Source organism: Homo sapiens, chromosome 8 (genome assembly GCF_000001405.40).
Source record: "Homo sapiens chromosome 8, GRCh38.p14 Primary Assembly".
Taxonomy (NCBI): Eukaryota; Metazoa; Chordata; class Mammalia; order Primates; family Hominidae; genus Homo; species Homo sapiens.
Window position 1 is genome coordinate 131,074,048 of NC_000008.11, and position 16,092 is coordinate 131,090,139.

Below are 16,092 nucleotides of genomic sequence, written 5' to 3' on the forward strand. Positions count from 1 at the left end.
GACTATGAAAATAGATTCCAAATCTTTGAGAATGGATAACAAGAATTGATAAGAGATTCAAGATTTCAGTCAAAGAAGCAAGAAATAAGGGACTCATGACTTCAGTCAGGGAATTTTCCAACTTGACCAGAGTAATGAAAATGTAATCAAGAAACTATAGTATATATTAACTGAGTGACAGTGGTAGGCCATTTGGAGAAAGGCTATAGCATGAGAGTTTGCCTAATGTCCCAGAAAGAGCAAAGGCTGTGATGTCAAACAGATCCCCGCATGAAGCTCAGCTCTGCTGTCACCCAACTTTTAGGCCTTCTCAGAGCCTCAGTTTCCTCATCTGTAATAAGGGGCTATAAATAGATTTTACATGTCACCATGCTTGTTTACTAAATTATAGGTTTAGAGATAATGTATGTAAAATGTACATCCTAGCTTCTGGCCCACTCCCACCCAATAAATACTTGTCCACTGTCCATTTAATTGGAATTATGCAGACAGCTTTGAGATACACACACATTAGAACAATTCCCATTTAGAAAATCAAAGGAGACAGGAACAAGAGCAAAAGGAGAGCAAGCCTTCCCCAGGTTATCAGTTTTGTGTGATCCTTGAATATGTTTGATATAAAAATGACAGATGAAAATGCTGTAGCTCAGACCCAAAGTTAGTAAACATGCAGACTTTGATGAAATTATGAACAATTCATAATGAGGCTGCTGCCGCTGCAATGACGGAAGCAAGCACAAGCCTTGCAGGTGCCAGGATTACACAGGGAAGTGAAGAAGAGCATGAGATACACATTTTATTGAAATTAAAGTTCAATGTGATATGACAGTTTGCCTTTTATGGATGTTCATTTAAAACTAGGAAAGATCAGAACCAGTAACCAGGTCTTGTTCTTTGGACCAAAACAATTAATTTTTAGAAAAAAAAATCAAAGAACTAACCTACTATTTTAGCTCATTTAATTTTTGTAACAATTTTATGAAAAAGGTGTGGTTCCCGTCATTTTAAAGAGGAAAAACAATGGAGACATAGATAGGAAATTAGAGTTTCCAACATCACACAAGGAGGGTGAGATTTGAACTCCCAACGGCCATGTTACCTCCATTGTTTCATGCTCCTTCATTCCATGCCCATGCTGTTCCTCTGTGGTATGTTATTTTTATAAAGTATGTAAGAAATATTTTCACACTGTGTTACAGACTGAAAGTTTGTGTCCTCCTAAAATTCATCTGTTGAAATTTAATCCCCAGAGTGACTATATTTGGAGGTGGAGCCTTTGGGAGGTAATCAGGTGATGAGACTGGAGACCTCAAGAAAGGGATTAGTGTACTTATACCAGAGGCCCAAGGGAGCTCAGCTGTCTCTTCCACCATGTTAGGACACAGCAAGAAGGCTTCGTCTATGAACCATAAAGCTGGTGCTCACCAGACTCCAAATCTGCTGGCATCTTGATCTTGGACTTTCGAGCTTCCAGAACTCTGAGAAATAAATGTTTATTGTTTAAGCCACCTAGTCTATGGTAATTTGTGATAGCAGCTCTGGCTGATTAAAACACTGATTTTTGGAATATTTGTAATATTGACTTAGTTAAAGCAGTTAATACACGTGTTGTACCATGAACTAAAGAAACAACTTGCAGGTCACATTCTTCAAATAATAATTGATCAGTCAGTAACCATGAGTTGAGTGTCCACCATGCTGAACTTGTGTTATACATAATTACTTTTTGCTCCCATGTCATGTTCTAATAGCTGTCATTGTTAAATATAAAAGCTAACAATTTCTATTTTCCACACAAGCTCTTCTTAAACTTTTTTCCAAATTATCCTCACAATTTTTTTTTGTGAATAGTTCCTAATTTAAGTTAGTTGCTCATTTCACTGACAATTCCATTGCATAGTCATCATTATTTTTCCCAGTTCCCATATTATTCCCATTCTCATTTCAGCCTTCTTCATCTTTCACTTCTTATTATTTACCTTTCTGATGATTTTTAATGATAGCACCAAATACATTCAAATGAAAAATTCCCTATACACAGTGCTTGGGAAAGGCCTCTGATTATATTTGCTTTCTTTCTTTACCTCTGAAATTTAGAATTACTTTTAATGCTTTCTATGTGTTAGAAACTAGAAAAACAAAGATGGATCAGAGGTTCCTGCCTTATGGACTAATAGTATAGATGGTGGGATGGTGAAGACATGTAGCAAACATCCACAATATAATGTGACAAGTGCTGTAATCAAAGTGAGATCCAAGTATTGATGGAGCACTCAGTGCTCATTTGACTCAGCCAGGGGAGTCAGGAAATACATTCCTGAGAAAGTGATATTTGAACACAGTCTTGAAGATTGGTAGGACTTTTCCTGATTGAGTGTTTGAGAGGGAAGGGCACTTTTGTGTGCTTGGGGATTAGAAAACTTTGGCTTGATTGGAGAGGTAGTACCTGTGTCCACTGGGGTAGAAGCAGAAGATGGTAAAGTGAGCTACAGAAGATGGGACCAGCCTAGATAATGAGAATGGAATCCTACTTTCAAGGGGAAATCATATAAAATGGACCACAGGGTTAATGGAAAATAGGGCGGGAGGTTTCGTAGAGGCAGATCAGGCTCGAAGATAAGTTCATGGTCATGGAAGACTTTATGTAACATGCCAAAGACTTTGTCTTTTATTCCCTATGCAATGGGACATCCTGATAGGTTTTTTCACAGAATGGACTTAGATTTGTTTTGTTGATTGTGGAGAATAAATTGGAGGAAAGAAGTTAAAAGGAAAAGGAATAGTTAAGCAGCTATTTAAGTAATTCAGGTGAAAGATGACGAATGTCTGGACATAGATGTGATGAAAGAAAAAAAAATCCCAGCGTCCCTGCTTTCTCAGATCTCGCTGTGTATTTTGGGGGAACGCAAAATATAATAATCATATACGTAACAATACTTTATATTTTTGCAATGCTTTGAAAGAACAACTGCAACATCAAGTCAAATATTTGTTGAGTGCATACTATATGGCAGCCACTTCGTGTTAAGTGTTGTGTATGGTTTAGCTCAATTTAATTTTGTTCTCCCAACAGACTTATAAAAGAAGTAGAACACACATGCTTCCCATTAGGTGAGAAAGAAACATGCCTGAGAGTCTAATGGATTACTCAAGTCTGTGCTGCCAAGGAAGAACAGAATCTTTAGGTGAGCAAAATTTCATACTTCTGGTTTTGGAGGTGTTCTTTCCAGGATACTGGGATTAACTCAGCATATGTCACATATGTTAAATGTTTGATGTATATGCACCCTATATTGAATGATTTCAGAGGCCCTTGGGCTGAGCTTTGAAAGCTACAGGCTGAACTCCAAGAAGTAGAAGAGTGAGGGCTGAACGTTCCCAGTGGTAAAGAAGTATAAGCATTCAATTTCCCCTATAATTCCTCAGAAGACATAACTGATTTTAATTAATCAATCAAATATTTATTTCACCTCCCCTCTGCTACAGAAGCTGTGATAGGACCAAAAGATTTCAGATTGTCTGAGAAAAGAAGCCATCTGTTAGAGTCGACAGGTTATGGTCTCAGAAATCATTGAACCTGGGCTTGAATTCTGACACCAACACTACATAGCTGTGTGGCCTTGGAAGTGTCACTTAACCTCTCTAATCCTCAGCTTCCCCACCTGTACAACTGAATCAGAAGTATGCAAATTGCAGGGTTGCTGTAAAAATTGGAGTTTATACACTAATGTGCTTTGTACAGTATAGAACCAGGAGAAGGTGCAAAATCTACGGTCATAGTTCATTATTATTATTATTATTATTATTATTAATTATTTAGTATCTTTTGATCTAGTAAGGAGTGTGGAGAGGGATGACAGTGTGAATCCTTCATAAATCAGGAGGTGGAAAAACAGAAGTTTGATTCCATGGGGAGTCTGCTAGAAGGTCTAGAAGTGCACAGTGGTGATGCTGGCAGGGGTCTTGGCAGCTAGCTAGGGCCTTTGTTCTTATTGTTCTTTTTGAAAAGAGTGGTCCTTATAATGCTTGCAGTCTCCGACTCCAATCCTGAGGGAGAGGAAGCTCCTGAGATGCCCATAAATATCCATTTTACTCTGCCTTTTCAGATTCTGCTGCTTAAATGCAATACAGCCCACGCTACCTATTTCTTTACATCCTTTTGGTTTACTCTGTGCTTTCAGAGGCCCCCAGCAAGGACCGCCCTGGGAGCACAAAGCAGCTGGAAGTTCATAATTGCAATAATTTTATCTGCCTCAATGCTGACACCTGCACAATGCACTTTGCATAACTTTGAGAAGTGAACCTGCTGTGTGCTATTGGCAAAGGGGTTGGAGGCAGAGTGTTTGCTTCATGAGACCCAAGGCAATGTAATTTAGAAAGTTCCCAATAGCGTGGACCCTTCAGTGCGCCATGCCACAGATCACATTTAGTTATTGGAGTCCCCATGGTTACATAGGATTTCTTTCCCACTGTGATACTAGTGATCAAACAAACTTTTCTTTTTCAAAATGAATATTGCTGTATTGCTATGTGTAACAGTAACAATGGTACTACCCTGTTGCAATAATTTTAGAGAATATAGAAAATTATAAAGAAATAAAAAAAGGTTTTTGGATTCTGGAGCCAGGCTTCTAGGGCTTGAATCCTGGCCCTGTTACTTATTAACTGTGTGTTCTTGGACGGACGTCTTAGGTTCTGTGCCTCGGTTTCTTTTTTTATAAAAGGGGAATAATGAAAGAAGCTACCTCATTGGGCTGTTAGGTGTTTCAGGCGAAACACTGCACTTAAACTCTTTAGAATAATATTGGGTTCTAAATAAATATTAGCTATTATTGCTGCCCTGCTGGTACCTACCCTTCCATTCATGTATTTTAAAGTGAAGTTTCATATGTAAATAAATCATATTGATCGTGCTATTTTGAAAATCCTTTTTAAAAAATGTAGCACACTGTTGGATCTGTTTCCTTGTCTATATATAAAAATCACCATCATCATTTAAAAAAGCACAATGGTAAGAATGTGGCTTGCACAGCCAGATGGTCTGGATTTAAACTCTGCACTGCTGCTTACAAACTGTGTGGCCTGAATGGGCAAGTCATTTGACTTCTCTCTTCCTCAGTTTCCCTATGTGTAAAATGAGGATTAATAATTAATACCTCATAGAATTATTATGAGGATAAAGTAAGTAAATACTCATTTGTAAAGAACTTAGAATATAGAAAGTTTATATAAAGATTTATTTTAAAAAAGAGAAGAAAGCACAGTAAGGAATATTGGATGTTTTGCCTCCCTAGTGTCTCTTCCCAGCTCTGGTAGTAACACAAGCCTCTCCCCTGCGGGACACTGTCCTCCACCCATCTGTTCACAGGGGGATCCTGGGACCAGGATAAAAAATTCCCAGTAGCAGAGTGATGAGTCCAGAGTTGACCTACAAAGGGAACTGTTTCCTGTGGTTCAGCTTCACAGATGCCAGGCCAGGATCCTCCCTTAGGCTTTTCTGCAAGATCTACAGGAAAAGGCTGCTGCTCTCTGATAACAATATTTCATATCCTCAGTTGAACTCCTCATCTCCTCTACACCCTAGCCTACTCTACCCACAGCCTTGCACATCCCTATCCTTGTAGTTTCTCAAAGATTTTGACCCCTCTCACTTACACTAAGCAAACAGTCTGTCCATAAATTCTGTTGTAAGTTTCTTCAAACGTACCCAGAGTCCAACTACACTCACCATGTCCTCTGATGACACCCTGGGTAGATCCACGGCCATTCCTCACTGGGAGATCTACAGAGACACTCCAATGCTGTCCTTGCTCCCTGCCTGGGAAATAGTATGTGGTGATCCTTCAAACAAGTAAAGAGACCATGTTCCTCTTCTACTCAAAGTCCTACAGTGACTCCCTGTATCCCCTAGGGTAAAAACCAAAGCCCTTACAATGGCCTACAAAGGTCTATCTAATTTGGTTCCTTGCTATCTCTTCTGTAACTTTCCCTCAATCTCACTTCACTCTAGCCCTAGAGGCCTTCAGAGGTTCTCGGAACACACCAGCCATGAATCTATATTGAAACTTTTAACTCTAGCCATTGGCTTTACCTGGAATGTTTTTTTCCCCCAGTATTTGCTTGGCTAATTCCTTTATCATCTCCTTCAAGTTTCCACTCAAGGTTCATCTTTTCTACGAGGCATGCACTAAGTAGCCAATTGTTTAACCCTATAATTTATGCATAAATTATAATCATTTAGATATTCTATTGTATCTTGTGTTCTGACAGCAGCTATCATCTTATATCATTTTACATAATTTACTTGTTCATCATCTACCCCCACACCCCATCACATAGTATAAAATGCAAGCTTTCGGGGACAGGATTACTTTCTCTATTTTGTTTATTAATGTGTCTTAAGAACCTCAACCACTGCCTGACTATAATAGGTGCACAACAAAAATTTATTAAATTAATCACTTGAATTCGTAGTTCCTCAGTACCTGAAACCAGATCTACTATTGGAGATTTTGGCTACATAAACACTAAGTTACTTATTTTATCTTAGCTAGCAGTAATGTAACTAGTAATTTATCTTAGAATTAGTATACTATTAGTATTAGATACTTAGCATCTTAGTAACTAGTAATTTATCTGAGCTAGTAATGGTATTCTGTCCATTCTGTCACTTTTAAGTAAGAGATTATCTCAATAGATGCAGAAAAGGCCTTTGACAAAATTCAACAACCTTCATGCTAAAAACTCTCAATAAATTAGGTATTGATGGGACATATCTCAAAATAATAAGAGCTATTTATGACAAACCCACAGCCAATATCATACTGAATGGACAAAAACTGGAATAATTCCCTTTGAAAACTGGCACAAGACAGGGATGCCCTCTCTCACCACTCCTATTCAACATAGTGTTGGAAGTTCTGGCCAGGGCAATTAGGCAGGAGAAGGGAATAAAGGGCATTCAGTTAGGAAAAGAGGAAGTCAAATTGTCCCTGTTTGCAGATGACACGACTGTATATCTAGAAAACCCCATTGTCTCAGCCCAAAATCTCCTTAAGCTGATAAGCAACTTCAGCAAAGTCTCAGGATACAAAATCAATGTGCAAAAATCACAAGCATTCTTATACACCAATAACAGACAAACAGAGAGCCAAATCATGAGTGAACCCCCATTCACAATTGCTTCAAAGAGCATAAAATACCTAGGAATCCAACTTACAAGGGATGTAAAGGACCTCTTCAAGGAGAACTACAAACCACTGCTCAATGAAATAAAAGAAGATACAAACAAATGGAAGAACATTCCATGCTCATGGGTAGGAAGAATCAATATCGTGAAAATGGCCATACTGCCCAAGGTAATTTATAGATTCAATGCCATCCCCATCAAGCTACCAAAGCCTTTCTTCACAGAATTGGAAAAAACTAAAGTTCATATGGAACCAAAAAAGAGCCCACATCTCCAAGTCAGTCCTAAGCCAAAAGAACAAAGCTGGAGGCATCACACTACCTGACTTCAAACTATACTACAAGGCTACAGTAACCAAAACAGCATGGTACTGATACCAAAACAGAGATATAGACCAATGGAACAGAGCAGAGCCCTCAGAAATAATGCTGCATATCTACAACTATCTGATCTTTGACAAACCTGACAAAAAGAAGAAATGGGGAAAGGATTCCCTACTTCATAAATGGTTCTGGGAAAACTGGCTAGCCATATGTAGAAAGCTGAAACTGGATCCTTTCCTTACACCTTATACAAAAATGAATTCAAGATGGATTAAAGACCTACATGTGAGACCTAAAACCATAAAAACCCTAGAAGAAAACCTAGGCAATACCATTCAGGACATAGGCATGGGCAAGGACTTCATGTCTAAAACACCAAAAGCAATGGCAACAAAAGCCAAAATTGACAAATGGGATCTAATTAAACTAAAGAGCTTCTGCACAGCAAAAGAAACCACCATTGGAGTGAACAGGCAACCTACAGAATGGGAGAAAATTTTTGCAACCTACTCATCTGACAAAGGGCTAATATCCAGAATCTACAATGAACTCAAACAAATTTACAAGAAAAAAACAAACAACCTCACCAAAAAGTGGGCAAAGGATATGAACAGACACTTCTCAAAATAAGACATTTATGCAGCCAAAAAACACATGAAAAAATGCTCACCATCACTGGCCATCAGAGAAATGCAAATCAAAACCACAATGAGATACCATCTCACACCAGTTAGAATGGCGATCATTAAAAAGTCAGGAAGCAACAGGTGCTGGAGAGGATGTGGAGAAATAGGAACACTTTTACACTGTTGGTGGGACTGTAAACTAGTTCAACCATTGTGGAAGTTGGTGTGGGGATTCCTCAGGGATCTAGAACTAGAAATACCATTTGACCCAGCCATCCCATTTCTGGGCATATACCCAAAGGATTATAAATCATGCTGCTATAAAGACACGTGCACATGTATGTTTATTGCAGCACTATTCACAATAGCAAAGACTTGGAACCAACCCAAATGTCCAACAGCGATAGACTGGATTAAGAAAATGTGGCACATATACACCATGGAATACTATGCAGCCATAAAAAATGATGAGTTCCTTTCCTTTGTAGGAACATGGATGAAGCTGGAAACCATCATTCTCAAGAAACTATCACAAGGACAAAAAACCAAACACCGCATGTTCTCACTCATAGGTGGGAATTGAACAGTGAGATCACATGGACACAGGAAGGCGAGCATCACACACCGGGGACTGTTGTGGTTGTGAGGTGGGGGGAGGGGGGAGGGATAGCATTAGGAGATATACCTAATGCTAAATGATGAGCTAATTGGTGCAGCACACCTACATGGCACATGTATACATATGTAACAAACCTGCACGTTGTGCACATGTACCCTAAAACTTAAAGTATAATAATAAAAAGAAAAAAAAAAGAGTTTAAAACAAAGTATTGTATATACTTACCGTGGCTTTGCTCTTGATGTCCTATTGATTGATATTTATGTGATTTACAGATATCTTCATAATAAATTATAGTTTATAAATATTCTTGCAAATGCAAATTTGTAAGTAGCCCCAAAATTATTTTTTCTAAGGAAGAATTCTTTCCAATCAAAATTGTAGAAGTAAAATTTTTGGATCAAAGATTTTTGAAATACATTGCCAAATTGCACTCTAGAATGAATTTTCTAATTTATAATTGTAGCCAGCAATAGATTAGGGTGTTCCTTTCCTCACACTCTGGCCAAAACCAAGAGGAGAAAAATAGTATCTCATTGTGGTTTAAATTTGAATTTCCTTGATAAGTAATGAGAATAAGTATTTTTTAATGTTTATAATTATTTAATTTTTTATTATGATATCCTTTACCTGTTTGTAAAATCTATTCAGAATTTGAATAATGAAACCATTCCTTCACATCAGGAGTTCCATTTCAGAGGGTCATATCCGTGTGTGAACATTTCTGTCTAGGAAGAAAATTTACATATAGCCCCCCACCCCCCAAATCTTGGGATTTCCTTCCAGAAGGCTTATACTGATATTTACATGTCAAGACCAAGCAGATTTGGACTCCAGATTTGAATCAAGCCTCTTTGTAGTGGTCAGGGGACTTAGGTTATTCATAATGGAAATTCATTTCTGATGGGCTCAAGGAATTTATTGAATGCCATAGAGACCATAAATAAGACAAAGATAAAGTAAAACCAGAAAATTACCAACCAGAATATTTTCCTCACCCACCCTTGTTTCTTTATGTGCATCCACTTCTCCTTCCCTTTTCTGCCTTACTGCTCTAGACTGTAGAGAAAAGATACTCTTTTACTTTGTCTCTCAATCTCTGTCTCTTTGTGTGTGTGTGTTTCTATTTCTATCTCCTTTCATTCTCCCTCTCTCATTCTGTGTTATGGGATGACTTGTGACCTCTCAAAACTCCTGTGTTGAAGCTCTTAACCCTTACTTACTACCTACACATTATATTTGGAGATAAGCCCTTTAAAAAAGATGATTAAGTTAAATTGTTTAACTTAACAACTAATAAACCCCTCTTTTTTTTCTTTCTCCCTTCCTTCCTTTCTCTTTCAGTCTGTAACCTCCTCTTCTCCTTTTTCTGTTATAGTTTGAAAAATCCCTGTTCAGATCATGATGGGTTGCATACCCAGTCATTATAGCCAAAGTTCGAGGTATCACAAATTTCCACTAAAACCATAGATTTAAAGTGGGATAGGGGAAAGATGAATAACTTCCTCTACACACTCCAGAAGGGGCAGGCCTTCCTTAAGGTGGGAGAGGAGGGCTGGACAGAGGGCATGTCCACTAGACTCTTGGAGGGTATGTCAAAGGCAGCCACTGATTTGATAGACAAAGGATACTGAGAATTTTTCCAAAGCCAAATCTGAGGGTCAACTTTAATACCAATTAAGAAAGAGTGTCCAGGTATAGAAAAACGAAACAAAACAAACATACAAACAAAGGAGCACCATCCAGGGAGTCAGCCTGAAGGGGGAATGAACAAATGGACATGTTTTGCTGCACAATTATTTACTTCCATGGACAGGTTGGACAGTACAGCCATAAGAGTGAAAATACAGTATTCTGATAATAGTCCAACACTTGATGTTAGAAACCAGGGATGAAGAACTTACTTTGTCTTTTACTGTTTTGGGTATCTTAAGTAAGTTATTTAACATCTATGAGCCTCTAATACCTTGGATTTGTAAACTAAAAAGTATCTGAGACAGGTCTCAATCAATTTAGTTTATTTGCCAAGGTAAAGGATATTCCTGGAAAAAATAAGCATGGAATCACAGAAACAGTCGTGGCCTGTGCCTTTCTCTGAAGATGATTTTGAGGGCTTCAATAGGTAAAGGAGAAAAGTGGGCTGGAGGAGAAAGAAGGAGGGTATGATAATCCACATGTTGAAAGAGAAAAGGAGCAGGTAGCAGAAGAGTTAATTATGTATTTCTCTTGTGCTCAGTAAATCTAGCACTTTACATAGGATAAGGTGAACATACATCCTACCTATGGAGATATTTAACCTTTTATCTATACCTGTCTGCTTAGTAACAAAAGAAAAGGCAGCTTCTTAAATGACTCAACTTTCAGCTTAATTTTTTTCTTTTGGCATAGTGAATTGGGGTCCTGAGTTTTTATTTTCCATTCACAGATTCAAAATGGAAGAAGTAATTCACCGTGTCTATGATATCTGGCACATAATAAGTGATCAATAAATGTATGACATCAAGCATTGCAACATAATACCTTGCAATATATATTTATAAGCTAAGAACTCTAACATAATCAAATATTATTCTCATTTGCAGTAGTCATTCAGATCTCTAGGACTAAAGAAAAATCCAGAGATGTGGGGAAAGGACTCTAAGCTTATCTATTTATTTTTAATATGAAACACATTTCATCTATTTTAGCCTGGCATAAAAAGTATGGCACCTCAGAATTTTGTGAAATGATGAGGTACACGTTATTAATACCTACCACTATTCAGTTTTTCCTGTTTTCCTTGGCATTTTGGTAACTGGACTTTCTAATCCCCTTGCAGTTGGGCAGATTCATGTGACAAGTTCTGACGAATGAATCGAGAAGGGGAGTGGCTGTGCTGCTTCCATGTGGAGATTTTGAGAAGCTCCCTAACAATTCTCATATTCATCTTACTAATGTTATGGTGGTGATATAGTTTGAATGTATCCACCAAAAGTTCATTTGTTAGAACCTTAATTTCTTACTGCAGCAGTGCTGGGAGGTGGAGCCTAGTGGGAGGTGCTTTGGTTGTGTGGCCTCCACTCTCATGAATGGATTACTGTCATTCTTAAAGGAATAAGCTAGTTTTTGTGGGAGGGGGTTAGTTATCATGAGAGTGAGTTGTTATAAAAAGCAAGCTTGGCTTCCTCTCTGGCCATGTGATATCTCCCACCATGTTATAAAGCAGCAGGAGGCCCTGGTCTGATGCTTGCACCATGCTCTTGGACCTTCCAGCATCCAGGACCATGAGCCAAAATAAACCTCCATTCTTTATCAATTACCCAGTCTGTGGTATTCTGCTATAACAACAGAAAATGGACTAAGACAAATGGTATTCACTGATAAAGTTTAATATTGATTTCGCAGAGCCCTGAAGAGTTTTTCCAACCCAGGGTGCAGGAGGCTTGATATTCCAGTTCTAAAGTACTATTCCCTGACTCCTGATATCAGACTCTAGTTAGAGCCTCTTTTGTTTATCCAAAACACATTTTGACCCCTGCAAGTCTTTGCTAAGGTGTAACTTTCTCTGTTTAGAATCTGTTTCTGGGTGGGGATTGTTTTGAATTTGCAAAAACACAAGGTTTAGTTAAAGTAAAATCATTATGGTAGTTTGTTTCTTTCTAATGCTGTTTCCATTCTTTTAGTGTACTTTAGAACAGTTTATGATAATCAGTATCTCTCCCTCCCTACTTCAGAATGATGCAAAGGCTTTAAAATTCTTTAACTCTTCCAATCTCTCACCACTGATTTTATGTGTTGACTTTTTATTATTAATTTCCCCTTGTTTTGATACTTCTAAGTTGATCAAAACCATTGTTATATGATTTTGTATTGTTTAGGTTTACTTACAAGTTTATCCATTTTTAAAATTCATCATTCTATTTTGCAGCATATATCTTCCTTCTGGGTTTACGTTCTTTCTTCATGAAGTACATTGTTTAGTGCTTTATTTATTTATTTATTTATTTTTTATTTTATTTTATTTTTAGTGATGATCTGTTAGGGATTATGTCTCTCAAATTTTGTCTTATAATTTCTTTATTACACCCTCAGTCTTGAATGACAGCTTAAGTGGGTATACTATTCTAAGCTGATGGCTTATTTTCCCAAAGTTTCAGTGATATTATTTTGCTGTTTATTAGTTTCTAAGGTTGGTGTAGAGAAACTAATGTTGGTCTGAAACATATTTTTTCTCAGCAAATCTGGCTTTTTTTTCCCTCCCTCGTTGCTCCCAAGACCTCCTCTTTGTCTTTGGTTTCCTGAATTTTTCAATAAGATTTCTAGATGTGTATCTTGTTTTGTTTATCCTTTATATAACTCAACGTTCTTCTTAATGAGAATATTCATGGTTTTCCTCAATTCCGGAAAATTCTCAGACATCATATCTTGTCTCATTTTATCTGTTTTTTCCTTGTGTAACTACTAATAGACATGTTGGAATGACATAATTTATTCAGTTGCTACCTCTTTGGTTCTTTTTGCAGTGGTATGGTATCTATTTCCTCAGATCTATTTTTCATTACGTGGCTCTCTCTAAAGAATTAATTGTGTCTAATTTACTGTTTAACTTGTCCATTGAGTTTTCAACTTCAATAACTGCTTTGTTTCTTTACAGAAGTTCTATGGAAGTTCTATGTATCTGTTCCTTCTTTCACAGTGTTTTTTTTCTTATGTTTCTAATTTCTTGTTTTCTGACATTAGCCATAGTTTGCTTGTCTATTATATGAAGAAACAATCTAGAAATGGTTAAGAAAACATTTTGGGGTCAGAATGCATGGTTTGAATCTCAAGCTTGCTAAGTACAAGCTGAGTTATCTTAATACACATTAACTATTAAAGCCTCTCTTTCTTCAAATGTAAAATGAACATATTGATATAATCTATTTTATCGAGATATTAGGAATTAATATTATATTTAAAATAATTAAAAGAGCATTACACATAATTGCTCAAAAAATGTTAGCTCTGTCTTCACCATCACCATTATCAAAAATGTTAACTCTGCCAGGGACTTTTCTATGTGATTTGTGAACTCATTGTTAGTGAGGCTTTATCTTTCAGAATACTGTGAGTCTTGGTATGGTGGGTTATTCCTAATGGTCATTTTCTATTTATTTCTCTCAAGTATCTCAGGAGAAATTTCAGGCTGGGCTCACGTTTTATTTTAGTTTCCTGAGCTCTGTGTTGCTAAATTGAGTCCCTAAAGCTGAGGGTCTGCAGGTTCATATTAGGATTTGAGGTGGCCCAATAAATAGTAACAGTTGTTGGTCGGTCTGCCTGCATGTCTCTCTGTCTTTCTGTATTTCACTAGATTTCTATTATCCTTGTTTCTCTCTCTAGCTCTCCTGTTTTTCATTTTTGGTTTCATCTTACCGCTTTTATAACCTTACTGCAAGTATTTATGAGTTTATTCCCATAGTCTAGCTCAATCCTTGCTACAGGTACAAGGATTAAATAAATGAGTAGATTTCCCCCTTTACAGAAGAGTCAGCTTGTTGTTTTGAATATAAGTTGAAAATGTACCCTTTGTAAGAAGACACCCTTACTACAATAATACTCCTATTCCTATTCCTTCCACCGTTACTGCTGATATGATAGCAGTTTCTTAAATGACTTAAATACTCATTCTGTGCCAAGAGTTTTTTCTACAATGTATGTGTAAATTCATAAAACCCTCATAACCATCTTTGAGGAAAGATACTATCATTAATGCCCTCTTACTGATGAATAAATAGGAAAACTAACCTGTTTTAGGTCAGTGTTTCTCAATTGGGAGCAATTTTGCACCTTCACCAGGGGACACTTGGCAATGTCTGGAGACATTTTTGGTTTACACAGCAGGGGAGGGGGATGTTAGACAGCAGGGGAGTTACACAGTTACACAGCAGGGGAGTTCAGAGATGGTGTTAACATTCTATAATATACAGGATTATACATGTAAAATATTATCTAGCCTCAAATGTTAAAAGTGTTGAAGTTGAGAAATACTGAGCTCAATAGAATACACGATCTTTTGCTTCATTACTTTTAACTTCATATACACTTTATTTTGCATACCCATATAGTTTTCTAAATACCATATATTTGTATTGTTTAAATCTGATCTGTCATTCTTTATCTGTTAATGGGTGAATTTGACTAATTTATGTTTATGTAATTATTGATATAGTTGAGCTTATATCTACCATCTTAATTTATTATTGCAGTCTCTACTTTAATCCTTTACACCTTTCAAAAGCTGATATCCATATGAAGGACCATAAACCCTCCTTAATATCCTTGTGGATGATGGAAAGACTAGAAGTTAAGAAGATATTAATTGAAAATTAAGTAATTTGGAAGAGGAGAACCCTACCTTTTGGCTGTCTGTAAAATTAGGTTATTGGAATAGACAACTTAAAAATTCTAACATGAGGTTGATAGATAATAAAACTGTCCTGCATTTGGGATTCATACTAAATGAGTACAGGCATACCTCACTTTATTGTGCTTTGCTTTATTGTGTTTTTCAGATATCATGTGTTTTACAAATTGAAGTTTGTGGAAACCCTGCATCAAACAAGTCTATTGGTGACATTTTCCCAACAGCATTTGCTCACTTTGTGTTTCTGTGTCACATGTTGATAATTCTTACAATATTTGAAACCTTTTTTATTATTATACATGTTCTGGTGATCTGTGATCAGTGATCTTTGATGTTACTACTGTAATTTTTTTGGATGCTGTGAACTGTGCCCATATAAAATGGTGAATTAAATCAATACATGTTGTGTGGTTCTTACTGCTCCAATGACCAGTTATTCCCCAACCTCTCTCCCTGTTCGCAGACCTTCCTAGTCCCTGAGACAACAATCTTGAAATTAGGCTAATTAACAATCCTACAGTGTCCTCTAAGTGTTCAAGTCAAAGGAAGAGTCACAAGTCTCTAACTTTAAATCAAAAGCTAGAAATAATTAAGCTTAGTGAAAAAGGCGTGTTGAAAGCTGAGATAGGGAGAAAGCTAGGCCTCTTGCACCAATCAGTTAGCAAAGAAAAAGTTTTTGAAGGAAATTAAAAGTACTACTTCAGTGACTGCACAAATAATAAAAAAGTAAACACCCTTATGCTATTATGGAGAAAGTTTTAACGGTCTGTATAGAAGATCAAACTGGCTACAACATTCCCTTAAGTTAAAGCCTAATCCAGAGAAAGGCCCTAACTCTCTTCAATTCTATGAAGGCTGAGAGAAGTGAGGAAGCTGAGGATGAAAAGTTGGAAGCTAGGAGAGGTTAGTTCATGAGGTTTAAGGAAAGAAACCATCTCCATAAAACAAAAGTA

At 37.0% G+C, this 16,092-nt stretch overlaps 1 long non-coding RNA gene across 3 annotated transcripts in view; it reads left to right on the plus strand.

The window, feature by feature from the left end:
- LOC105375760 (uncharacterized) overlaps nt 1–16,092 on the plus strand; it is a 257,327-nt gene that overhangs the window by 34,526 nt on the left and 206,709 nt on the right. For 2 of the 3 annotated variants that reach the window (XR_007061183.1, XR_928653.3), the window contains one exon: nt 3,074–3,185. This is a non-coding gene — a long non-coding RNA (uncharacterized LOC105375760). Of the gene's footprint in view, nt 1–3,073; nt 3,186–15,287; nt 15,537–16,092 lie in introns of those variants that run through there. The other variant, XR_007061182.1, reaches the window with a different exon arrangement.